Genomic DNA, 25,853 nt, shown 5'->3' with positions numbered 1-25,853 from the left:
TCCTCCCATGTGGCCTCCAAAAGTACTGGGATTACAGGTGTGAGCCATTGAGCCCAACCTGATGAAATAATTTTTATGAAAGTGCTTTTAAAACTGAAGTGCTACAGAAATATTGGCAATCATCTCTTAGGCTGTTCTTACAGATTCTCTAGACTTTTGCATGTGTGTGTTTTAATAAAAAATGATGGCTGTATGGGGGTCCCAGTGGATTAAGCCACTGGTTTGCAACTCTGGTTACCTGTTAGAATCATCTGGGAAGTTTTTAAAACCAAGATGCCTGGTCCCTATCTCCCTACAGGTTTTTGATTCAATCGTTCTTGGACTGGGACAGGGCAGTTTATGTTTTAAAAGCTCCTCAGGTGATTCTAATTTGCAGCTAAGGGTTCCAAGCAATGGATTAAAGAAGAAAGCAGATACATAATGGTTTTATGAAACAGTTTGCTATACCTTAAAATCCAAAGCATTTTCCCCACACATCACTACTTGGTGGTGGAGAATAAACGGCGGCCGGTGGAGAGTTCTGGACTTACCAGAACAAAAGAACTCCAGGACAGGTCCCATGGGGAAGCTGCTGCTTCTCAGCTTCTTCAAGGTCAGGTGACAGATGCTGGGTGATGATCCGGGTGCATACTCCAGGGTGCTAGAGTGGGACAGGAGTATGCTTTTAGGTGGGCAACAGAGAATCTCATGGCACGGCTATAGTTAGTGGGCTCTTTGAGGTTAGAAGCAGTCTTGAATTTCATCTTTTAAATCCAGGACTCACCTACTGTATTAGTGCATTCTTACACTGCTGTAAAGATACTGCCTGAGACTGGATAATTTATAAATGAAGGAGGTTTAATTGACTCACAGTTCCGTACGGCTGGGGTGGCCTCAGGAAACTTACAATCATAGTGGAAGAGGAATCAGGCATTTTCTTCACAAGGCGGCAGGAGGGAGTGTGAGTGTGTGAAGGAGGAGCTGTCAAACACTCATAAAACCATCAGATCTCATGAGAACTCACTCACTATCATGACAGCATGGGGGAAACCACCCCCGTGATCCAATCACCTCCCTCCCTCCACAGGTGGGGATTACAATCGGCAATGACATTTGGATGGGGACACAGAACCAAACCATATTGTTCTGCCCCTCCATCTGCAAGCTGAAGAGCAGGGAAGCCAATAGTGGCTCAGTCCGAGTCCCAAAACCTCAAAAGTTGGGAAGCCGACAGTGTAGCCTCCAGTCTGTGGCTGAAGGCCTGAGAAACCCTGGCAAAACACTGGTGTAAGTCCAAGAGTCCAAAAGCCAAAGAACTTGAGTCTGATGTTCGAGGGCAGGAAGCATCCAGCACAGGAGAAAGATGAAGGCTGGAAGACTCAGCAAGTCTGCTCATTCCACCTTTTTCCACCTGCTTTTTCTAGCCTTGCTGGTAGCTGATTGGATGGTGCCTACCCAGATTGAGGGTTGGGTCTGCCTCTCCAAGTCCATTGACTCAAATGTTAATCTTTTCTGGCAACACCTTCACAGACACACCCAGAAACAATACTTTGCATCCTTTGAACCGATCAAGTTGACAATATTAACCGTCACACCTAAAGTAGTGGCTCATTTGTTATGTCTTTGCTTAATAAATAAATAATAAATATTTGTCCTAGGCATTGTGGGAGATATTTCCCCATCTATTATCTTTTTTTAACTCCAATTTTTAATTTTATTTGAATAAGAGACATGGTCTCACTGTCACACAGGCTGGAGTGCAGGAGTGCAGTGGCGCAATCATAGCTCACTGCAGCCTCGAACCCCTGGGCTCAAGCAATCCTCCTGCCTCAGTCTCCCAAAGTGCTGGGATTACAGGCATGAGCCACTTCACCTGGCCCCACGTGTTATCTAATTTAAAGTTTGCAACACTCCTGAAATGTAGATAATGAAATACAGAGGCGTAGAGAGATGAAATAACTTGTTCATCTTAGTTACACAACTGAGTCTGTGTTCAGAGCTGGGATTTGAACCGATGTGTGCCTAGAAAGCCCATACCTTTCTAGTCAATTGCCTAACAACTAGAAATGAGATTTGAATACAGAGGAAGTCCAGAGCCCCAAATCTCTTCGTGACAAGCCTGCCAGTTCTCCTCGGCATCATTCTAGGCTTTAAAATCTGTAACTCAGTGGTTTTAGACAATGATGATAAGATCTCGAGAGATGATAATTGTAGAAACATGCTATTTCTTTGACCCCGTTTCCTCCCAGCCCCATTATCTTTTATCTATGTGCTGAAATTTCTCTCCTTTGGTGTTTCAGGATAGGGTTTCACCTTGATTTCCTAATTTAGTTTAGTGTTAGTTTATTCTGGCTAAACTTTTAGTTCCTTTTGGGCAGTATGGCCTTAACAGATTCTGACATTCTAAGTCTTGAGAAATTAATGTAGGCCGGGTGCGATAGCACACACCTGGAATCTCAGCACTTTGAGAAGCTGAGGCGGGCAAATTGAGCTCAGGAGTTCGAGACCAGCTGGGGCAACATGACAAAACCCCATTTCAATAAAAAATACAAAAACTAGCCCAACATGGTGGGCATATGCGCTTGCAGTCCCAGCTCCTCCAGGGGCTGAGGCAGGAGGGTTGCTTGAGCCCTGGAGGTCGAGGCTGCAGTGAGCTGTATTTGTATCCCTGCATTCCAGCCTGGGTGACAAAGTGAGACCCTGTCTCAGGAGAAAAAAAAAAAAAGAAATTAATGTAGCTTCAACAGTAAATACAAGTCATGGACTGGCTACTGCCTAAGCAGTTCCTAAAGGCCTGGTGTGTGCAGACACCCAGCTAGGCACTGGGGGTGTAGTGGTGAACGGCACAGACATGGTCCTTAGCCTTGAGGAACTTAAGGAACTTCCAGCCTAGTTGGGAGAGATGAAAAAGATAAAATATTTTTCAGTAGTGGCTTGGCTGCTGCAAAGTTGATTTACTGTAGGTAATCGAGACAAAGTTTATATAATGTCATCCTATAGCCCATTAAAACAGAAAAAAAAAGGTGTAATGAGGTTGGTGTTCATAAGTACGAAATTGGTGTTTCTGTATGAAGGGCAATGTTAATATCTATTGCTAGAGTAATCACATTCACATGCTGACATGTTTGGTTTACAGCCAGAACGGTCAGGAAATTAAGCTGTTTATTTTCTGCCCTCTTGATAAAAGTCACACTTTTACAACATAATTAAGCAGAATGCCAAGCCATAGCTTTCAGCTATAAACACTGCTTTTAACATTAGGTAAGTAAGCTCATCCGGGGAGGGTTTTGTTTTTGTTTTGTTTTGTTTTGTTTTGCCATTGTAATTAACCTCAGTAGGATGAGCAGCTGTTTCATATTGCTCAAGCTGCAGGTAGCCTTGTTTCATTCTGAAGTGAGCTTCAGATACATGGTTGATTGTATTACCCCCAGCTACTGCTTAAGACCAAAGTAGAAGGTTTTTCTCCACCCTTGTAAGTATTTGTTTTCTGGAATTCTGGGAACTTTTGTTTCTGATAGGATCTAGAGCTATGGACATTTGTCCTTGGCATCCTTAGAGGCTTCTTTTGGGATCAGTGTAATTCCTGATTGAAGCCCAGTGCATGCATCAGAGAAGGCACTTCTTGACCCTTTTCTTCTTTGAGGTTAGGCTTCAGCTGTCTTAGAATGAGGCTGATTGAGGGTCTCCAGAAGGTCAGTACTAGTAAGATCTGAAGACTTAAGATTTTGCCCAATGTGAGCTGGTCCTTAAAAAGCAAATCCTTTGTATTCCTTTCTGAAGTCTTGCTGAATGCCGTTGTAGCAGCCAGGGTTCCTCATTGCAAAAAACAGAAAACACTTCTGTTAATGCACTGAATTTGGGATACTGAGTCTGACAGAATCTCCCAAAAGGCTGGAGAAGCAGGCTTGGAAAATGGTGAGAGAACCAAGAGCTGTGTGTAACTACCCCTAGCAACTAGAAGCTCCTGTCACTCTTTTGCATCTCCTCCTCCAGGTTCAGTGACCCAGGTGGGAGTGTCAAGTAGCTGGATCTCACTCACAGGTCCATGACCTAGCTGCTGGAGGTGGGGACATGGGGGAGGTTGGAGCAAGTGAAAAATTGGTCTTTTTAGCTTCCTTCAATTTGGGGGTTTCGGGGGTTAGTGCTCAAGATGTAGTCCTCTTCCCACCTGCCAGGGACTCGGAAGCTGCATGGTTGCCCATCTTGTTTCTTTCCTTATCCTGCGTTGCCCTAAGGTAGGGAAACCTAGCTGTCAAATCCCTTTAAACCAACATACTCACTGCATACACATCTTACAGTTAAAGCATGCCTAATTGCCCAATGTTTTATACAGAATTATTTGCTCAACTAATACTGCACAAGGGTAGAGAATTAAAATGAAAGGCTTTATGTTTAATATGGTCTATTAACTGTGGAGGGCACTGGAAATTGCCAGGCAGGTATAATAGAAAGTAGGTCATTTATTCACCACTTAGTGTAAGTGGTTTTTTCTTTTCTAGTAATAGCCATTCATTTTATCTGAAACTAATCTATTTTTAGAATCCTAACAGCTGGTTCCGATTATAAATGTTTTTTAGCCTCTGTCACACCAAGAACTTCAGAAACGTCTCAAAAACATCATATAATGTCTACCAATATACTGCTATTAAGAAACATCTTGCATACATTCTTCAGTATGCAAAGGACATTCATATCATGGACATGAACATCTTTATTAAATAAAGGCTGGGCCGGGTACGGTGGCTCATGCCTGTAATCCTAGCACTTTGGCAGGCCGAGGTGGACAGATCACCTGAGGTCAGGAGTTTGAGACCAGCCTGGCCAACATGGTGAAACCCCATCTCTACTAAAAAAAAAAAACAAAATTAGCCAGGCTTGATGGCACATGCCCATAATCCTAGCTACTTGGGAGGCTGAGGCAGGAGAACCACTTGAACCTGGGAGGCGGAGCTTGCAGTGAGCTGAGATCATGCCACTGCACTCCAGCATGGGTGACAGTTAGACTTCATCTCAAAAAAAAAAAAAAAAAAAAGGCTGAAGCCTGGTTTTGGTTCAAAAAGAATCAACAATATGAACCCATAAAATGAAATACCTCACAATAAAGCCAGAAATCAATATAGTCCCTTTAAACCTCTAGTTTTACTGATACATAATTTTTTCCCTCTTCAGGTGATGTTCTGATTAGTGTTGGCCATGCCAATGTGTTAGGATATACTCTTCGAGAATTTTTACAGCTTTTGCAACATATCACTATTGGAACAGTGCTACAAATCAAGGTTTACCGAGATTTTATTAACATTCCTGAAGAATGGCAAGAAATATATGATTTAATCCCTGAGGCCAAATTCCCAGTAACAAGGTAAATAGTTCATTTTAGGAACTCTTTGTTATAATACAGAATCCCAGGGCCTGTGAGGCATAGATGGTTTAATGTGACAATTATCAAATGATAAGGATCATGACAGGAGGACTGGTGACACTGTCAGAGTAATTTCCTGGGTTTCTGGTATTAGATCTGTAGGATCTAATATGAGAAAGCACGATGAAGTCAACCTGGAGTTAAAAAACAAGTCATCGGTTGGGAATTTTGTCCCCATGCCTACCTGTATGGTGCCCCTCTTTCCCGAGTCAGCCCTTAAAAATGCTTCTTGTGGGCCAGGTGTGGTGAATCATGCCTGTAATCCCAGCACTTTGGGAGGCTGAGGCGGGTGGATCATGAGGTCACGAAATCGAGACCATCCTGGCCAACATGGTGAAACCCCGTCTCTACTAGTAAATTACAAAAATTAGCTGGATGTGGTGGCGCGTGCCTGTAATTCCAGCTATTCGGGAGGCTGAGGCAGGAGAATCGCTCGAATCAGGGAGTCGGAGGTTGCAGTGAGCCGAGATCGCACCACTGCACTCCAGCCTGGAGATAGAGCGAGACTTTGTCTCAAAAAAAAAAAAAAAAAAAAAAAGTGCTTCTTGCAAATCCTATTTTCTTTTCCGTATTCAACTTTTTGTTCTCTGGGTCCTTCCCAATAACATCTAAGCCTTTTTAAACTTCTCCCATCTTGGCAAATCCTATCTTCAGTCCACTCTCCTCTCCCTACCCTCTTTAGCCACTGGAGTCTTTTGCATCCACTCCCAACTTGCTAAAAGCTGTATTAGACACCTCTGTTTCCTCGAAAGACGCCACTTCCCAGACACTCCTCCACCCACTTCAATCTAGGCTTTGCTTTCATCCCTTGGCTGAGTCCTTTTCCCAGGGCCACCCATAGCCTTCACACTTCTGATCCCACTAGATTCTTCTGTCTTTATCTTGCTTGGCTTCTGAGCAGCATTAGACACTTAACAATTTCCACCCACTCTCTTCTTGAAATAGCACTTCCCAGGCTTCTGTGACACCACACTCCCCTGATTTTCCTGTTACCTCTGGCCATTTCCTCTTGGTGTCCTTTCTCCTAGCCAGTTTCATTGATGCCTGTGGTTTCTATGACTATCCACATGCTAATTACTTTCAAACTGTATTATCACCAAAACTGTATTTTTTTTTTCTTGGAGACGAGGTTTTGCTCTTGTCACCCAGGCTGGAGTGTAGTGGCGTGACCTTGGCTCACTGCAACCTCTGCCTCTCGGGTTCAAGTGATTCTCCTGCCTCAGCCTCCAGGGTAGCTGGGATTACAGGCGCATGCCAACACACCCAGCTAATTTTTGTATTTTTAATAGAGACGAAGTTTCACCACGTTGGCCAGGCTGGTTTCGAACTCCTGACCTCAGGTGATCTGCCTGCCTCGGCCTCTCAAAGTGTTGGATTACAGGCATGAGCCACCAAGCCTGGCCAGAATGATCTTTTTGTAATGCAAATCTGATCCTGGCATGTTCCTGCAAAAAATCTCTTAAGACTTTTTGTTCTTTGGATAAATGTCAAAATCCTCACATTGGCCAATGATGCTCTATGGGGTTCAGCTGGCCTCTGCAAACCATTCCAACTTCAACTCATACTGCTTTCCCCATCCTTCTCTAGCCCCCTTTAGCTTCCAGCTCTCTGCCTTTTGTTTTGCCTCAGGGTCTTTGCACTTGCTCTTCTCTGTGTGCAACATGTTTGTAACTTTGCTCTTCAGTAGTCACCCTTGAAGGCTCCAGTGTAACTTCTCCAAGGGGTCTTCCTAGAAACAGGTCCACCTGACATATGCTCTCACAGCTCGCTCCTTCACATTTATCCCAATTTTAATGAAATAATCTGTGTAATCAGTTGTTCACTGTGTTTCCCTGGGAGAATGTGAACTCCATCAAGGCAGGGACTGAGTCTGTCTTGTTTTGCTAAAATTGCCCTAGGACTTTCATGTGGTCAGTGGTTCACTTGTTTTTAATTTTTAATTTTAAAAGTCTTATTTTTGAGACAGGGTCTCACTCTGTCACTCAGGCTGGAGTGTAGTAGCACGATCACAACTCACAATCAAATCCTACTCAGCGACTCCTACACTGGAGGGCACGACTCTAAAAGCCTGGGCTCATGTGATTACATAACAACTATGTTCTAAGCATTTTCATTACATGGAGGAGTTTTGAGATCCAGAATATTAAATTCTAAGGATGGTAGACTGACCATTCAAAAGCAAAGAAAAGATAGAACAGTACAACTTAAGTAAGAGGCGAAAACCCACAAACAATACCAAGCACCTGCTGATTCCCTTTCTTAATTAGGCAAAGTACCCATATCTGAGGCATTTTAGTAACTTATGTATAACGCGGCAGGGAAAGAAGAAGGAAAAAGATGCTTTCACAAAGCTAGTATAAACTTTTCCAGGAGAAAATGGCACTGGGTATACACACTGGAGAAATTCTCCATGTAACGCTCTGGGTAGGCCAAGTGGTATAGAAAGTTTGTTTCTAGCCAATCCTGACCTCTGCAGGGTTGTGGCTTTATTACCTAATGACAATTTACCTGTCCTTTATGGTTACCTAACCATCAGAGTTGCCAAGGATTCCCCCTGCAGTCTGAAAAAAAAAAGTTACTAATACTTGGATTTAAAAAAAAAATTCATGTGCTGTTCAGGAAGACCTAGGTGTGTCTGAAGGCAAATCAGACAAAGAAAATCAGTATTTAAGACTAGTGGCTCTCAGTAAAAATTACTCATTATCAACTGTTTATTACTGGAAGAGATAAACTTTTGGAAAAGCCATTCAAATTATTGGAAGCAAATACAACAGGCAGACTGCCAAGGTTATTAGTGATAACACCAGAAGTCTTAACAGGTTGGCAGGGAAGAAACCTATTTCCTTTTAGCAGGGCAGAATGTACCAGAGATTTGTAATCACAAAGATCTAGTTTTGGTTCTGCTGGGCAATAGCACCAGGATGAGGGAAAGCAGGTGACAGAGCATTCATTCTGGAAAGTTAAAGCAAGCACAGGTACTGTAGGCATTAGGAAAGTTCAGAGACCTGGAGGTGCTAGCAGGCAAGCACCACCTAGTTTCAACAATCAAGAAAGTCAATAATTGGAGAAAGTTAAAAACAACAACAACAACAACAACAAAAACCTGGCTGGGCACAGTGGCTCATGCCTGTAATCCTAGCACTTTGGAGGCCAAAGTAAAGATTGCTTGAGGCCAGGAGTTTGAGACAGGCATGGGCAACATAGGGAGATCCTGTTTTAAAAATAAATAAATAAATAAAAATAAATAAAAATTAGCCAGGTGCGGTGGCATACAGCATACACACCTGTAGTCTCAACTACTTTGGAAGCAGAGGCCAGAGGGTCACTTGAGCCCAGGAATTCAAGGTTGCAGTGAGCTATGATTGTACCACTGCACTCCAGCAAGGGTGACAGAGCAAGACCCTCTCTAAAAAAAAGACTCTAAGACTTACTAATGACTAGGATGTTGAAGATCCTTAAGGCCCACTATTTCCTGACTTCCTGACTCCTCTGGAAATCAGTAATGTTGTGTTAATGCCACGTGAGCCACAAGAATAGAGTTCTCAGGAGATGGCCAGGTTGAATCCGTCACTTTAGCTGCAGTGAAATTAACCTACCCTTTAACACCTCCTAATATTCTGGTCAGTAGTCTAGTATAAGTCTGTGCAAAACTTTTTAAGGTATGGTGAAGTAATTTAAGGCAGAATTTGATTTCCATTTAGAAATGGAAAAAGATTTCAAGACGATTTAAAAAAGAGAAACATTTCAATGACACAGAAAGGTAATGCTAAAGCTAAATTGTATCTTTTATGAGTCAAAGCAAGTTATAAGGCATCTTGTTAGGGGACCATAAATGTTTAGACATGAAGAATCTATTTTATTCACTATTCTTTTCATTTCAGCACACCAAAGAAAATTGAGCTGGCAAAAGATGAATCTTTCACAAGCAGTGATGATAATGAAAATGTAGATTTAGATAAAAGACTTCAATATTATAGATATCCGTGGTCAACTGTGCATCACCCTGCAAGGAGACCAATATCCATCTCCAGAGACTGGCATGGATATAAGAAGAAGAACCATACTATTAGTGTAGGAAAAGACATTAATTGTGACGTGATGATTCACAGAGACGACAAGAAAGAAGTGAGGGCCCCTTCTCCATACTGGATAATGGTGAAGCAAGACAATGAAAGCTCTTCCTCCTCTACCTCCTCTACCTCAGATGCATTTTGGCTGGAAGATTGTGCCCAAGTTGAAGAGGGTAAAGCCCAACTGGTATCAAAGGTTGGTTAGCAAATCTGTGGTCATATGAGCATTTATCTTGCAGACACCCAAGTTTTGTGCCTCACCAGGCACAAGTTTGCTGTACTTATCAAGGACTGTCTGTAGACTCACCAATTCTCTTCTCTTATGACTGCGTTATAAAGCCTTTAGAGATGTTCTTCAACAGGATTATCTAAAGACTTCCTTGGGTTCTTGCAGGCCTCACAAATCTTATTTTCAGAATAAGACCCTCCTTTTTGAGAAGAATTTCTTTCTTTTAGAAAATGCCGTAGAGAAATCCAATATCAGAATGTCTGAACATAGTAGAGAATGTCACTTTATGTAAACACTACATTTTTCTTTAAATATTTAGTTTCTCTCTTTTTTTTGGTAAACTTCAAGTACTATAATTAAAATAACTAAGAGACATAATTCTTTGGCTAGTTATTCACATTAGAATTCTTTTTTTTTCCCCTTTTTAGCCCTTCTTTTACTGTAAATGTTGAATTGAGAGTTAATTATTTGGAAGAGACAGGATAGTAACAGATAAGGGAGAGACAGGAGATGAGAGAAAAACAAAACTCTGTCAATGAAGATAAATCAGACATAAAAAAATGAATGAATGGGAATATAGGATATGATTGATAGGAAATGTATGTTTTTTGGAAATAATTTTATTGCAAAAAAGGCAAAACAGGGGTAAAAACCAGACCATTTAGCTGTTGACACCCAAAATGACAAATTTTGAACTTGCTTTCATCTTAAACGCCACCAATAGTAATCTGGCACTATTTACCCCGATAGCCACTTAGCCTTAATTTTAATAGTTTCTGATGCTTCTATACTCAATAATTATATTCCTGTCTCCTTTAAAGCATCTAAAACAAAGATATCAGCACATAATAAATACTTGTTGATTAACTCATTGAGAAAAACGTAAGAAAAACACTTAAACAGAATGTTTTATTGACTTTAGGTCAGCTGGGAATAATTACCTGCATTTATGCCTTATTTTACCTCACTGGAAAAAAGACAAATGATATATTAGAGACTTCTGACTTTCATGTGTTTGCTGCTCTGGGCTGAGAGAACGTTCAGCTCTCTCCTGTAATGTGTGCATCAGTATTACAACTCATCAACAAAAGGTGTATGTCCCAAATTTCCACTTGCTGCCATTGACTTCTGGCCAGAAACAAACTTCTTTGCCGCCTTTAAAGAAACAAACAAAAGACAAAATTAACAAAAATAAAAATATATATCATCAAGCAGGCGAACTTATTTTGTCATTTCAAGAATTTATGGATAGGACATTCTTTTTTTTTTTTTTTTTTTTGAGGTGGAGTCTCGCTCTGTCACCCAGTGTGGAGTGCAGTGCTGCGATCTTGGCTCACTGCAGCCTCCGCCTCCCAGGTTCAAGCAATTCTCTGCCTCACCCTCCCAAGGAGCTGGGATTACAGGCATGTATCACTATGCCCAGCTAATTTTTGTATTTTTAGTAGAGACGGGATTTCGCCATGTTGGCCAGGCTGGTCTCAAACTCCTAGCCTCAAGTGATCCACTCACCTTAACCTCCCAAAGTGCTGGGATTACAGGCGTGAGCCACCAACCTGGCCTTCGATAGGACATTCTAAGCCAGCAATTACTATAATAGCTGTTGTGAAAATTAACTAGGAGATGGCTGGTGCTTTAATTTGGGACAGTGTGGGAGGAAAAGCTTAGCTGTTTCTCTGAAAGTCCCATTGTATGTGTAATGAACCAAGCAAGAGCAACACTGGTAAGAGGGTAGCTGTTCAAAGAGAGATAAGGAAAACAACACTGACACTGTCAAATAGAGTAGTGTGGCTTCAGGCAGGGATATACTTTCCTGTTTCGGTATTACAATGGCAAATAGTCTGGGTCAATAAAAATACATTGATTGTTAACTTAAAAGTAAAACTTGATACCCTAGAGGATTCTTTATGCCACTACTTCCAAGTTCAAAGGCTGGTTAAGTGTAGTATCATGAGTCAGGTGTAGGTGGAGCAGCAGCCCCCATATTCTGTCAGGCCAGCTTATCTTATTACTATGAAGGAGAGGTGGTGGTGGAAGCAGTCGGGTTGGGACGCACATAATGATAGGATATAAGATGAAGACAGCCATTTAAAAGAGTACCAAATGGGCTGGGCGCGTTGATTCACACCTGTAATCCCAGCACTTTGGAAGGCTGAGGCGGGTGGATCACGAGGTCAGGAGATCGAGACCATCCTGGCTAACATGGTAAAACCCCGTCTCTACTAAAAATACAAAAAATTAGCCGGCCGTGGTGGTGGGCACCTGTAGTCCCAGTTACTAGGAAGGCTGAGGCAGGAAAATGGCGTGAACCCGGGAGGCGGAGGTTGTACTGAGCCGAGATCGCGCCACTGCACTCCAGCCTGGGCAACAGAGCAAGACTCCGTCTCAAAAAAAAAAAAAAGAAGAGTATGAAATGACGATTGGGGCGAAGTGAAATCAAGTCAGGGTTACTATCTTAAAATAGCCTTGTCTCTTTTTTATTTGAGACAGGGTCTCACTCTGTTGCCCAGCCTGGAGTACAGTGGCATGATCTCGGCTCGCTGCAACCTCTGCCTCCCAGGCTCAAGCCACCTTCCCACCTCAGCCCCATGAGCTCCTGAGTAGCTGGGACTACAGGCGCATGCCACCAAGCCTAGCTAATTTTTGTACTTTTTTGTAGAGATGGGGTTTTGCTACATTGCCCAGTCTGGTATTGAACTCCTGGGCTCAAGCAATCTGCCCACCTCAGCCTTCCAAAGTGCTGGGATTACAGGAATGAGCCACTGCACCCAGCTTAGTTTTTTATTTTTTCTTATCCCCACTGTCCCTATACAAGGTAGACCTGTTGGTGAGAAGATGGCCGAGACATCTACAGTAGAAAGCAAGTTGGCAAGTTTAATGTAGAAAATGGGGAAAACCCACTTACTTTGGATTAATTCTGTAGGTCATGTGCTTGTTAGGCACAGCAGGGAACACAAAGAAGTACATGACATAGTCCTTGCCCTCAAAACAGCTCAATATTGTAGGGAACAATAATATATGTGAAAAAAAAATTAGCAAGAACAAGAGAATGTCCTAGGCTGAGAAGAGTAAAGAAAATCTTAAGATGCTAGATGGTGAAATATTGCTAGGACTGAAGAGGAAAAATAGCAAACTTCACTATTTAGGTTGGATCATATGAAACTGCTAATATTTGACTCTTCTTTACTTCTAGTCATCTAACATAAGCCCATTTTATAAACTACCATTAGTTTAACCTAACGTTTGATACGTTAGGTGTATTAAATGCACTTTTGACTGCCATCTCAGTGGATGGCAGCCCTCTTACTGACATCACAGTTTAACCTAATGGTAGTTTATTTGAAGGAGGAAGATACATATACTCGAGCTGACAGGGAAGCTTGTTGCGGATCTTATGGGAATGAGCCCTCCTGCCTCCACATTAAGTAGATGAGCACCAAACATAAGAATAATACACTGCCCAAGGACGCTTATGCATCCTTCTGAAATTGGATCATTAAGGTTAAGTTCTCTGTTGTTAAATCGTTAAGTTTTCATTTACTTACATTTATGATATCAGCATTAGCCACTGAATCAATCTGCTGAAGGACTGTGGATGGTGGCATGTAAGAACCAGCAACTAGAGCCTGGGACCCGACTTCTTCCAGGAAACACTCAGAAGACTCCACTGACATTAGGTATCCAGCTTTCAGCTTGTTCCTGTCCAATAAAAGGCAGAAGTCAGTTTTAGAGAGCAAGGCAATTATTTTTTTTTTCTGAGTGGTGGCGGGGGGCTGTGAACATCAAAGCTTTATTTAATGGATAGAGTAACAGCGTGTCTCCCTCTTCCTGAATTCCCCAAGAAGAATGCCACTCCCTTCTCTGGAACATACTAAAACAGTAAGTCTGAAGGGAAGAAGTCTCTTCAGGGTTGCCAAAGTGTCCAATTGAGGGCCCACTTTGGCCTCCATTTGTGGGTCCATATGCTGCTACAGATTTGAGTGAGACAGCTGGAGAGCTCCCTAATGCTTCCCAAGGCCTCTGGATCCGGTTGTGCAATCTGGATCCTCTGCATGTCACTGGCCAGTCGCAGCATGCTCTTTCTCCTGCCCACTGGCACAGTGAGGAAGATCTCTCTGCTGTCAGTGAGAAGGCTGTCATCCACTGAGATGGCAGTCAAAAGTGCATTTAATACACCTAACGTATCGAACATCATAGCTTGGCCCAGGTTATCTCATATGTGCTCAGAACACTTACAATAGCCTGCAGCTGGGCAAAAGTCTTCTAACATAAGCCCATTTTGTAAGGAAGCATTGATTATCTCATGTACTGCATATCACTAGCCTAGGAAAAGATCGAAATTCAAGGTATAGTCATGTACTACATAATGATGTTTTTGGTCAATGATGGACCACATATATGATGGTGGTCCCGTTAAGATTATTAGGGAGCTGAAAGATTCCTATTACTTACTGACAACATAATGTTGTAGTGCAATTTTAAAAAAATAAATTTAGCGTAGCCTATGTTTACAGTGTTTAGTATCTACAGCAGTGCACAGTAATGTCCCAGCCCTTCCCATTTACTCACCACTCACTCACTGACTCACTCGAAAGCAGGAGCTATGCCATAAAAATGGCATACCATTTTTTTATCTTTTGTGCTGTATTTTTACTGTACCTTTCCTATGTTTAGATGCACAAATACTTACCTTTGTGTTATAACTGCCTACAGTATTCAGTACTATAGTACATGCTATACAGGTTTGTAGCCTAAGAGCAATAGACTATACCATAGAGCCCATGTGTGTAGTAGGCTATACCATCTAGATTTGTCTGAACACTGAGGTTCACACAGTGATGAAACCACCTAACACCACATTTCTCAGAATGTATCCCCATCGTTATGTGACCCATGACTGGAAGCTGAAATTGCGATGGTTTTCCTCCATAGTCAAGTTGAAAAATTATAATTGATCCATGGCAAGTTGGGGACAGTGTATATTGTAAACCTACCTTTTGGCTGCTACAGTGTGAAGACCAGGGATCTTGAAGAGCCTTCTGTCAAACCAGGGTGTCAGGCCTGTACTTGGTGTCACCACAGACAACTCCACCTGGCCCACAGCTGGGGTCACAGTGTTATAAAGGTCACAGTCTTGACCTTTTCCTTTTGCCTTTTCCTTGTATGAAGTGGGTTCTCTTCTTGGATGGAGGATACCGTTCAATGCTTGTAGTTTGAAGATTCTCATGTTTATTTTCTTCTTATGCTATCGTTTCACTTGTATTACCTGTGAGTTTTGGCAGGTTTCGGGGGTGTCTGAAGAGCTTCTGCTGTCTGTTTATTTCTGTGATATCCACTTCAGCTGTTGCTGCCTCTTTTAGGGCCTGTTTGTTTTCACCAAGGGTGAAGTAGTCAAGCCAGTTCCTCTTACACAGTGAAACAGGGCAATTTTAAGGTATGTGCCCCGAAACTCAACATATTTTTGGTAAACAGGCAAACTAACAACTTACAGTGCTAATGGCCTCCATTCTATTTCTTCAGTTCACCAAGTACGTGAACCGTTTACGTTACTATTTGGAAAGCTGTCAGTACGAAATTATACTGAAAACTCCACAGATTGCTTTTTGATTTGGGACTAGAACTTAGATCTAGGTAAAACTATTTTAATGTAAGGTTTTGATTAGTGAAGCAACTCCTGCCTCTTGCTGAGATTTGTCTGTGAGCATAGGGTATGATGGAAAAGGCAGGTGGGGAAGGGCAGTACAGGTCTTGTAAGCAACGGCAGCTTAAATATGGGCACAAAAGCATCCACTTGAAATAAAACAAAATCCAATTCACAATTCTCCCAGAAACTTATTACTTATAGACATGGTGTTTGATAAGACAGTCGAGTTATTTGAACCTCAAACGTTTATCATCCTTTAACACTCTACAGAAAGACTTCCATTTAAACATAATTACAATTTAATGCTGCAGTTTTACCACGTTGTCAGCTTAATTAAAAAATGATTTTACCTGCAATAAACTACCAAGAGGTTATTAGTGTGTCCTTTCGGCAATGACACCTCACTTTCTCTCTTTCACTACAGGAAGAACTTACAAGAAAAAGTATCAACTCCATCAAAATGGCAGAAAACATACTTTGACATTAATATTCAAAATTCTACTTTCTGCTTATTACCATACCTTGTAAGAACTGTGTTACACTTATTAAGAAAATACGTTTTCTTAAATAAATTAGATTTGAAAAACTTAGGTTTTTCTTAAGTAAATCCAGTGTTTCAATGTATTCTCATCATGTTTTGTTTCTGGTACAATCAAGCAGCCCTGCATCCTATCGATTCTTGGTTCTATGTATACAATATTTAATAAATTGTGTTGTACTTATACAAGAGATGCAACTTTGTAGTGTGCTCAGCATAACAAAACTAACAATACTAATGGGAACAGAAATGACCAAAAGGTTGTTCCATCCTGGGTTGTAATTCTGCTTCCCCTGTGGGCAATACTAAATGATCATAACGACCACTGGAGTTGCAAGATTCACATTTTGAATTGTTCTAAGTAGATGGAGTCAAACTTAAATGTCTTAAGCGGCTGTATGAAAATGCAGGTTGATTTCCAACTTTGTCCCAAGTCTGTCTCTTTTAGAGAAACCCTCGAACTACTAATGAATTAGGAGTGTTGATAGCACTTTCAATCTGGACAGTGGGGATTTATAAATTGCCAAATAGCAGACAAGTATTTTAGTCTTTCTTATAAAACAAAACAAAATCAGATCTTTTTTGGGTATAAATTAGTTATGAAGAAAGAAACTATTGTAGAATAGGTACTCTTATATACTGGTGGTATGATTATAAACTGGTACAATCTCTTTAGATTTGTGACTTAGAAATACATTTTTTTTTTTTAAGAGACAGGGTCTTGCTCTGTTGCCCAGGCTAGTGTGCAATGGCGTGATCTTAGTTCACTGCAGCCTCAAACTCGTGGGCTCAAGCAATCCCCCCTCTTCAGCCTCCTGAGTAGCTGAGGCTACAGGCACACACTACCACACCTGGCTAGTTTTAAATATCTTTTTGTAAAGACAGTGTCTTGCCACATTACCCAGGCTGGTTGAACTCCTGGCCTCAAGTGATCCTCCTGCCCCAGCCTCCCAAAGTCCTGGGATTACAGGTATGAGCAACTGCGCCTAGTCAAATGTATTATTTAAACATACACACATACACACACTCTAACATGGAGTCTTTCGTTATGTTTATAACTCTTAACTTAGTTGGGAATCTACACCAAGAAAGTAATACGAAACACAAAAATATTTTAAGCCCAAAGATATCTTTATAACTGCAGAAAATGCACAAGTGTATTTTGACACACCAATGAATATTGTTTAAATTTTTAGTAATTTGAATCAATGGAAACAGAATCATTGCTAGGGAAATCAGAGATCATTTTTGTCTTTTATTTGTAATTTTCAAACTTCTATAATAAGGATGCTATTTAAATAAGATAAAAAAGTATACAGATGGTCCCTAACTTAACTTATGATGGTTTGACTTATGTTTGTTTGGCTGGATGACTGGGTTATTAGGGTATTAAATGCATTTTCGATATGCGCATTTCTCAGGACGTAACCCCAGTGTAAGTCAAGCAGCATCTATATATACAATATTAACAATTATGTTTAAAAATGCATGATCAATAAACTAAGAAAAATGTTAACAATTATTCTCTAATTTTGGTGGAGACGAGGTCTTGCTATGTTGCCCAAGCTGGTCTCAAACTCCTGGTCTCAAATGAACCACCTGCCTTGGCCTCCCAAAGTGCTGGGATTAGTGAGCCACTGTGCCTGGCCAAAATGTTAACAATTATATCTTTAGGTGGTAGGATATGGGTATGTTTCCCTTTTTACGCTTTTCTGTACTTCTCAGTCCTTATGAGCATAGATTGTAATATTGTTATAATCTGAAAAGAATACAACTTTCAAATAACAAAAACATAAAACACAGTTAATACTGAGACTTACTTGGCAGCTTGGACATCTGTGTTGGAAAGGTTTCCTTGAGCTATTGTTTTTACTTGATTATAGGCAGCCTTGATAACCTAGGACAGATAAGAAAAGTTGGTCATCTGTGGTCAGTACCAGAGTCTCCTGCAGCACTGACACACTTCTTTACTGAGGCAAAAACACAGATGGAAGGTTAGTTCCAGACAAACAGCACAGTGTCCATGCGGAATGCTGTCATCACTATGGGTTCCTTATTCTTCCTATGTTCATAAAGCAGCTGTTTATACACAATCCTCCTGCCCCAGCCTCCCAAGAAGCTGGGACTACAGGTGCATGCTACCAGGCCTGGCTAATTTTTTAGCTTTTTTTGTAGAGATGTGTGGGCTCAAGTGATCCTCCCACCTTAACCTCCCAAAGTGTTGGGATTATAGGTGTGAGCCACCACACCCGGCCAAACACATGGATTTCTAATCACCCATAAAGAATAAGCACCTTTAAAACTTCCCCAGACTCTTGCAGTGTCATGCCATTAATACTGCTATCTCTTACTATTCACTAAGAAGAGAGTAGTAATCCATACACAGCCAATTTGTAAGGCTTGTCCATACTTTGTAAGCCAGGGTCAAGAAGGAATCTGAATCCTTGTATGGTATTTAAAAAAAGAAAGAAAGAATAAAGTTCCGGGGATGTGGGTACTTGGTAAATATTTGTTGAATAAATAAATAAATCTGACCATGATTTTCTCCATCCCAGTGCTGGCTGGGTCTGCTACTTATTTTTCCCTCTGATCACCTAAATTCTAGGACCTCTGTTTCCCCTTCATTTTAGCTGCCCATTTTCAGAGCCACACCCCAGACCTGATCATAGCCTAAATTTGCATACCTCTGAAGCCCTCAATTCTAAGACCCCGACCTCAGTCTTTAATCTCACTATCCTTATTCTTCCACTTTATCAAGATCTCTAGTTCCTTGACTTGTCCAGTCTTTCAATTTATCAGGCCCCCTCTGGCTTCACTTCTCTATTGAGCCTAGATCCCTGAATCATCCTTTTAATCACTCTTGCCAATGCTCCCAACTCCCTTGCTATCTCCTCATACTTCTCACCTGCCCACTTTGCAGGATTCCAACCTGGGATTAACCCTAATACCTACCTCCTCCATTTCTCTATTAGGCTTCTGAATGCAACTGAAGAAAAATTACATGACAGTGCTGACTGACTGTACTATGAATTTGTGGTCGCTGATTTCAAGGATACATCTACACTACAGCGAATACCCACTTTTTGTGTACCTCACTATTTGTCTGTCCCAAACTTCACTACTTTCTTTAAACTTTCCTCTCACGTCTGTCAAAACATGACTTAGCCTCCTGTCTCACTGAGGAGGTACTTCCCCATCTTCCCAATATCTTCCAATATTAGCCTGTCTGTAAGGCTAAAAGGTCCACTTGTGTGCTGGATCCCAAGTATTCCTTTCTCAGACTTGAGCCATTTATAATTTTCTATCTCCGATATCTGCTCCGATCTTTTTGCTCAGTATGTCTCTTTCAACCTAATCTCTCAGTGTAAACTCTCCTAAAACAACTTGCTCCTTGAATGTCTAAGCTCCACTAGCCCACACCAACCTCTCATTTCTTACTTGTCATTCATTCCTTAATCACTACACATTTTACCCAATTTCCACTACTCTAGTCAAAACTGTTAAGATCACCCATGATGTCCTAGCTTGCTGAAACTACCAGACTTCTCAGTGGTAATGAATGTTATTTCACTGTGGGTCAAAATGGTGTTAAACATACTCTCTTTCCTATCCTTCAAATATATCAGCTTCTCTTTTTCTTTCTGTTTACCTGGGCCATTTTTCTTAGCCACTTGCTCCTTAAATGGTGTTGTTTCCCAGAAATTGAGCTTTAGTTTTCTTTTCCTACAATCATTCACACATATCCCTGATTTCAACACAATCTCTACACTGAAGACTTGCAAATAAACCTCCTGGTCTTCCCCTCTCCTGGGTTCTCAATTTAGATGTCTCAGAGCCAACTCAATGCAACTTGTCCAACCAGAACCAAAACATGAAGGAGGCAATTCTCTCCTCTTTCCTGGAAGCATTAGTATACATGTGTAAATTTCCCTATAGCAGATAATGCTTCAATGACATCATACTATACAGAGCTCTGATAAGTCATTGCACTGCATTCAAACATTCCATATTTTAACCGAAAACATGTTTATGGCGGGGGGGAGAAATAACTTGTTCATGAAAGAAGTTTGGTGAGTTTGCAACTTACATCTCCAGCAGCTGTGGCCTGGGAGATAGTATAAATCCCAAAGAGTCCAGAATCTGAGTAACTGGCATTAAATGCAGAAACCTGAAAGATAATGAGACTTTACTGTATGATATTCTACCAAGTAAAACAGGGCACGATTTCTTTAAGTTTGCCTAGAAAAAACTTGGACCTTCACGGTATAAACAAAATAGATTAATATTTTACTTAGCCAGTTCTGTCACGAACTGAAGTATTCTGTAAATAGGTTACCTCTTTCAGAACTATCACGGCTTTGTTTTTTCATTTAAATATTTCTAAAATGACTGCTCCCTTTCCTTTATGCTGGGTATTTTCTAACCTGCTTTAGATGATTAAAGGTTTATGCAAACACTAATCTGCAAACATTATTATTATAATATAGATAGGCTTTGGCATTAGGCAGACCAGGTTTCTTCTCTCTGCTGTTGGTAGGGACTTTTTCACCAATTTACTTTCATTTCTCTTATACACTCATGTCAGAAAGTTAGAGAAAAATTTCTGCTTAGTGGTCATTATCCAGATGTCCAAGCTATCAAGAGTTTAACCTCTGAATAACAGGGATATTGTTATCTAGTTTGAGCAGAGCTTTTAGCTCTCTAGGGTGAACCCGATTTGCAGTGTTTATGTGGACCATTTACATAAAAATTATCTAAGTTCTTATTAAAAATACAAACTTTCAGATTCCCAAAATGGACCTACTGACTCAGGTCCCTGTGGATGCAGCCTGGAAGCCCAGATTTTTAACAAGTGTTCCAGGTAATTCTTATGTACAATAAACTTGGAGAACCATTGGCTCAGTCCACGTAAAGCATAAGAAGGCACTTCAATTTCTTTTATTTATTTATTTATATATATTTTTGAGACAGAGTCTTGCTCTGTCACCCAGGCTGGAGTGCAGTGGCACGATCTCAGCTTACTGAATCCTCCGCCTCCTGGGTTCAAGTGATTCTTCTGCCTCAGCCTCCCAAGTAGCTGGGACTACAGGCGTGCGCCACCACGCCCAGACAATTTTTGTATTTTTAGTAGAGACAGGGTTTCACTGTGTTAGCCAGGATGGTCTTGATCTCCTGACCTTGTGATCCGCCCAACTTGGCCTCCCAAAGTGCTGGGATTACAGGCGTGAGCCACTGTGCCTGGCCTGGACTTCAATTTCTTTAATTATAATTCTGAGGCCATCCTATTTATACTCTAAATTTCTGGCTGAGTTCTGAACTAGGAATTTCTATTAAATTACTTCATTGGATTAGGAGAGATGGGGGTTTCACCACGTTGGCCAGGCTGGTCTCGAACTCCTGACCTCCAGTGATCCGCCCACCTCGGCCTCTCAGAGTGCTGGGATTTTAGTTGTGAGCCACTGTGCCCAGCCTCTCATTTTTCTTTTCAAATTTAATCTCAAGCTGAATGAGTGAGTCTGTAAACAATTTCTTGGTGTTCATCTTGTCCACTTGGTTGGAAAACAAATAGTGAGATTCAGGAAGTAACCAAAAGAACAGAAGCGGACAGAAGAAAATCTAGAAAAAAAGACTAGTTAGAATCTAGGGGAAAGTTTAATATCTACAACTTTATTCTAAAGGGAACGGATGTGTGGATTCCCTTTATTTCTAAGCATTCAATTCCTCTTTTTATATTACTAATGACAAGTAATAGACAAAGTGGAAAAGCCAGTGAGTTTTTGATAGGCCTTCAAAGATACTAAAATCAAGCCTGGCTATCTCTTCAATTGTACAAAGATTTTCTGTGTGTTTGTCTTACATTTTAAGAGTAGATTATCAGAATTATATCTTAAATACTGAGCCTTTGAAAGCAAAAAGAGAGATACCAACTGTTCAGACTCACATCAAATGGCTGCTGAGTTGCCTTGGCAACAGCCTGGTGCAGATGGCTGGTGGTGTTGCTGCCCCTCTTGACATGTGGCCCAGCACCGAGGACATGCTGAAGAACACTAAATGCATTTGCCTCTGCACTTCCCGCGACAGCACTTTCTGCTACAAAAGCAGCATGGACAAGACTGTCTCCATTCTGTTCTCGGATTTCACCTGGGGCCAGATTAAGGATAGAGGGAAGAAGAAAATGGCTTGTTCACCATTGGTTTCATTCTCCAGTATTTCCTACAACACAGTATTAACCCACGAGTCTTTTCTGCAGCTCGGTGCTTTCCCCATGCCATCCTGTCCCCAAACACACACAAAACATATGCTCAAAATACAACACCCAAGCCATCCAATTCTATGCCGAGACTGTTCAGTAGTAAATATTCAGGCCTATTCCACCTCAATATGCTATTCTAGTGGGGAAACGCCCTTCTGATAAATTAACCCTAATAGAATGAAATGCTTACCTCCACGGTAGTTGGCCTTTGCACCAGATAAACCAAGCCCACCCCTCATGTTGAGAAACTGTTCAGCAACTTGCTTTAGAACAGGATGACTCACACCTGTTTCAACAGAAGCAAAAACAAAGCTAGAACCACAATTACTAAAACACAATCGTAAAATATTTTTTCCTTGTTTTAAAAATACGATTGTAAAATCCTAACACTACAAAATAAATAAGAGTCTTCCTGCCATAATGCCACTCTCCCAGAGATACCCAATTACAGTTTACTATTACTAAACTATTTACTATATACTTAGTATTACTATTCATCTAGAATTTTCTGTGTAGTTAATATTATCTTCAATTTATTTCTAAAATGGTATCATTCTATTGATATTGTTTCTAACTTATCTTTCATAATTTACAAATTTCTAAGTGAGTAGTCTACATCAAATATTTAATGGTTATAAAGAATCCCTTTCTATGGCTCTACCACCATTTATTTGATCAATCCCCTCCTAATGGACGCTAGCATGTTTCTAATAGTTAGCTCTTAAAACAACATTGCATTGTCCATCAAAGAACACTGTATCAAGAAAGTAAAAAGAGGACCCATGAAATGCAGGAAAATATTTGCAGATAATATATCTGCTAACAGCTTGAGTAACCAAAATATATAAAGAACCTTTACAACTCAACAATTAAAAAAAAAAACTTAAAAATGGGCAAAGACTTGAATAGACATTTCTCCAAAGTTGACTGGGCACGGTGGCTCACATCTGTAATCCCAACAGTTTGGGAGGCCGAGGCAAGTGGATCACCTGAGCTCAGGAGTTCGAGACCAGTCCAGCCAACATGGTGAAACCCCATCTCTATTAAAATTACAAAAATTAGCCAGGAATGGTGGCATGCACCTGTAATCCCAGCTACTCGGGAGGCTGAGGCCGGAGAATTGCTTGAACCTGGGAAGTGGAGGTTGCAGTGAGCTGAGATTGCGCCACTGCACTCCAGCCTGGGCAACAGAGCAAGCCTCTGTCTCAAAAAAACAAACAAACAAAAAAAGTTATACAAATGGACAAAAAGCACATGAAAATATGTTCAATGTCATTTGTCATTAGGGAAATACAAATCAAAACTACAATGACCACTTCCCACCCAGTAGGTTGTTCATAATCAGAAAGACAGACGATAAGTGTTGGTGAGGATGTGGAGAAATCAAAACCTTTGTGCATTGCTGGTGGGAATGTAAAATGGTGCAGCTACTTTGGAAAACAGTCTGGCAGTTCCCCAAATGGTTAAACAGAGTTACCATATGTCCTGGCAATTCTGTTCTTAGACATAACCAAAAGAACTAAAAACAGGTTTCCTAAGAAAAATGTACACGTGAATGTTTATATTTACGACAGCCAAAAGGTAGAAACAACCCAAATGCCAATCAATGAATAAACAAAATGTGGTAATGGAGTATTCTTGAGCCATAAAAGGGAATAAGACATTGAATTGACACATGCTACAATATGGACGGACCTTGAAAACATTATGCTAAGTAAGAAAAGCCAGTTACAAAAGGCCACATATCGTATGACTCCATTTATAGGAAATGTCCAGAATAGTCAAATCTATAGAGACAAAGTAGATTATTGCTACTTAGGAGGCTGAGGTGGGAGGATCACCTGAGCCTAGGAGTTCAAGGCAGTGAGCTATGATTGTGCCACTGTGCTCCAGCTTGGGCAACAGAATGAGACCTCCATCTCTTTAAAAAAAAAAACAAAAACAAAGTAGATTAGTGGATGCCACAGGCAGGGGGAAGATGAGAATGGGGAGTGACTGCTAATGGGTATGGGGCTTTTGGGGGGATGATGAACACACCCTGAAATTAGGTAGTGGTAATAGTTGAATCTGTTAAAAACCACAGAACTATTCACTTCAAAAGGGTGAATTTTATAGCATGTAAATTATATCTTAAGCTGTAATTTGCAAAACAAAACAAAAAATATTACAAATGATATTCTCATGCAACTACTTTGTAAACTTGACCTAATGTTTCTGTAAGACAAATTCTTAAAAGTCACTGGGTCTATGAGTGTAAACATTTGGAATTGTATTTTTTTGAGACAGAGTCTCACTCTGTCGCCCTTGCTGGAGTGCAGTGGCACGATCTCAGCTCACTGCAATCACTGCCTCCTGGGTTCAAGCGATTCTCCTCCTCAGCCCCCCGATAGCTGGGATTACAGGCATGTGTCACCATGCCCGACTAATTTTTGTATTTTTAGTAGAGACGGGGTTTCGCCATGTTGGCTAGGCTGGTCTTGAACTCCTGACCTCAGGTGATCCGCCCGCCTCAGCCTCCCAAAGTGCTAGGATTACAGGCATGAGCCACCATGCCCAGCCTAGAATTTTAACAGATATGTTCAAAAAGATCTCCCAAAATGTTGTACTAGTTTATATTCCTACTAACAATTTGTGAGAGTGCCTATTTCTCCATACCCTGGTTAATTCTGGGCAGAGTCCATCTTTTAATTTTGCCAACATCACAGATTAAAATTTTCTTAATTATTAGTGAGGCTGATCATTTAAAACAAAGATAGTTGGCTACACATATACAAACATATTTCTCCCATGAACTGTCTGTTCATGCCCTTTGCCTGTTTTTCTAGTAAGCTGTACTTCCTTTTAAAAAAGTTTGTAAAAGCTCTTTGCTTTGAGAAATTCACCTTTGTCACAGGTTTTACAAATACTGTAAAGAATTTAAAGCCAGTGGTTTACAAATTTAAATGTTGGATTCTGCTTTCCAAAACAAATGACTAGCAATTAAAATCCTATGATATATTGCCTGTCTGACATAAATAGAAGGCCGAAGTTTTCAAATTTTGTTCAATCCTATGTTCACGTAATTACAGTTTAAGGAACTGCTCTTAAGGAAGCAAACTGACAGGCAGGCAATACTCTAAACTTACCAAGTCCAATCAAAGCCATTCTTGCACTTGTGAAATGGTTCTGAACGAAGTAATGTAACTGAGGAAGTTAAAAACACTTATTAGGTTATATTAGCATAAATATAAAAAGCTGTAAAAACATAAAAGTACAGTTTGGAAGAAAATAAATACTTATAAGGCCTTATAAGTTGCTGTAATGAACTACAAGGTACTAACTGAGGTGAATTACCCTGGGATTTTATTATAAAAACTATTGCTTAAAAGAACTAGAACCTAATTGTGGTCATGGTTGCACAACTCTGTGAATATAATGAAAACCACTGAATTGTGTACACTTTAAATAGGTTGTATAGTATGGTGAATTACATCTCAACAAAGCTGTTATTTATAAAAGGAATAAAAAGAGGCTGGGTGCAGTAGCTCATGTCTGTAATCCCAGCACTCTGGGAGGCCAAGGCTGGCGGATCATTTGAGGCCACGAGTTTGAGACCAGCCTGGGCAACACAGCGAAATCCTGACTCTACTAAAAATGCAAAAATTAGCCAGGCATGGTGGTGCACGCCTGTAATCCCAGCTACATGGGTGGCTGAGGCACGAGAATTGTTTGAATCCAGGAGGCA

The 25,853-nt window shown here is 40.8% G+C and overlaps 2 protein-coding genes and 1 pseudogene across 6 annotated transcripts in view; 1 reads left to right on the top strand and 2 right to left on the bottom strand.

The window, feature by feature from the left end:
• Positions 1-25,853, top strand: part of PDZD9 (PDZ domain containing 9) — a 43,577-nt gene that overhangs the window by 7,177 nt on the left and 10,547 nt on the right. For 3 of the 5 annotated variants that reach the window (NM_173806.4, NM_001363519.1, NM_001370530.1), the window contains 2 exons: positions 5,149-5,338; positions 9,280-10,075. In NM_173806.4, coding sequence (NP_776167.2) covers positions 5,149-5,338; positions 9,280-9,673 — 584 coding nt within the window. In that variant the 3' untranslated portion in view covers positions 9,674-10,075. Of the gene's footprint in view, positions 1-5,148; positions 5,339-9,279; positions 10,076-25,853 lie in introns of those variants that run through there. The other 2 variants (XM_017023109.2, XM_047433888.1) reach the window with 1 other exon arrangement.
• Positions 10,280-25,853, bottom strand: part of UQCRC2 (ubiquinol-cytochrome c reductase core protein 2) — a 30,300-nt gene continuing 14,726 nt past the window's right edge. Inside the window, exons 8-14 of the mRNA NM_003366.4 lie at positions 25,255-25,312; positions 22,320-22,415; positions 21,818-22,017; positions 19,964-20,044; positions 17,697-17,773; positions 13,240-13,393; positions 10,280-10,852 (exon numbers count right to left, since the gene is read on the bottom strand). Coding sequence (NP_003357.2) covers positions 10,769-10,852; positions 13,240-13,393; positions 17,697-17,773; positions 19,964-20,044; positions 21,818-22,017; positions 22,320-22,415; positions 25,255-25,312 — 750 coding nt within the window. The 3' untranslated portion in view covers positions 10,280-10,768. The remainder of the gene's footprint in view (positions 10,853-13,239; positions 13,394-17,696; positions 17,774-19,963; positions 20,045-21,817; positions 22,018-22,319; positions 22,416-25,254; positions 25,313-25,853) is intronic.
• LOC100420644 (cell division cycle associated 8 pseudogene) lies at positions 13,462-13,845 on the bottom strand (annotated as a pseudogene).

This window comes from Homo sapiens, chromosome 16 (genome assembly GCF_000001405.40).
Source record: "Homo sapiens chromosome 16, GRCh38.p14 Primary Assembly".
NCBI lineage: Eukaryota > Metazoa > Chordata > Mammalia > Primates > Hominidae > Homo > Homo sapiens.
The sequence above is the reverse complement of the archived record's forward strand: the minus strand, read 5'-3'. Positions and strand labels throughout refer to the sequence as shown.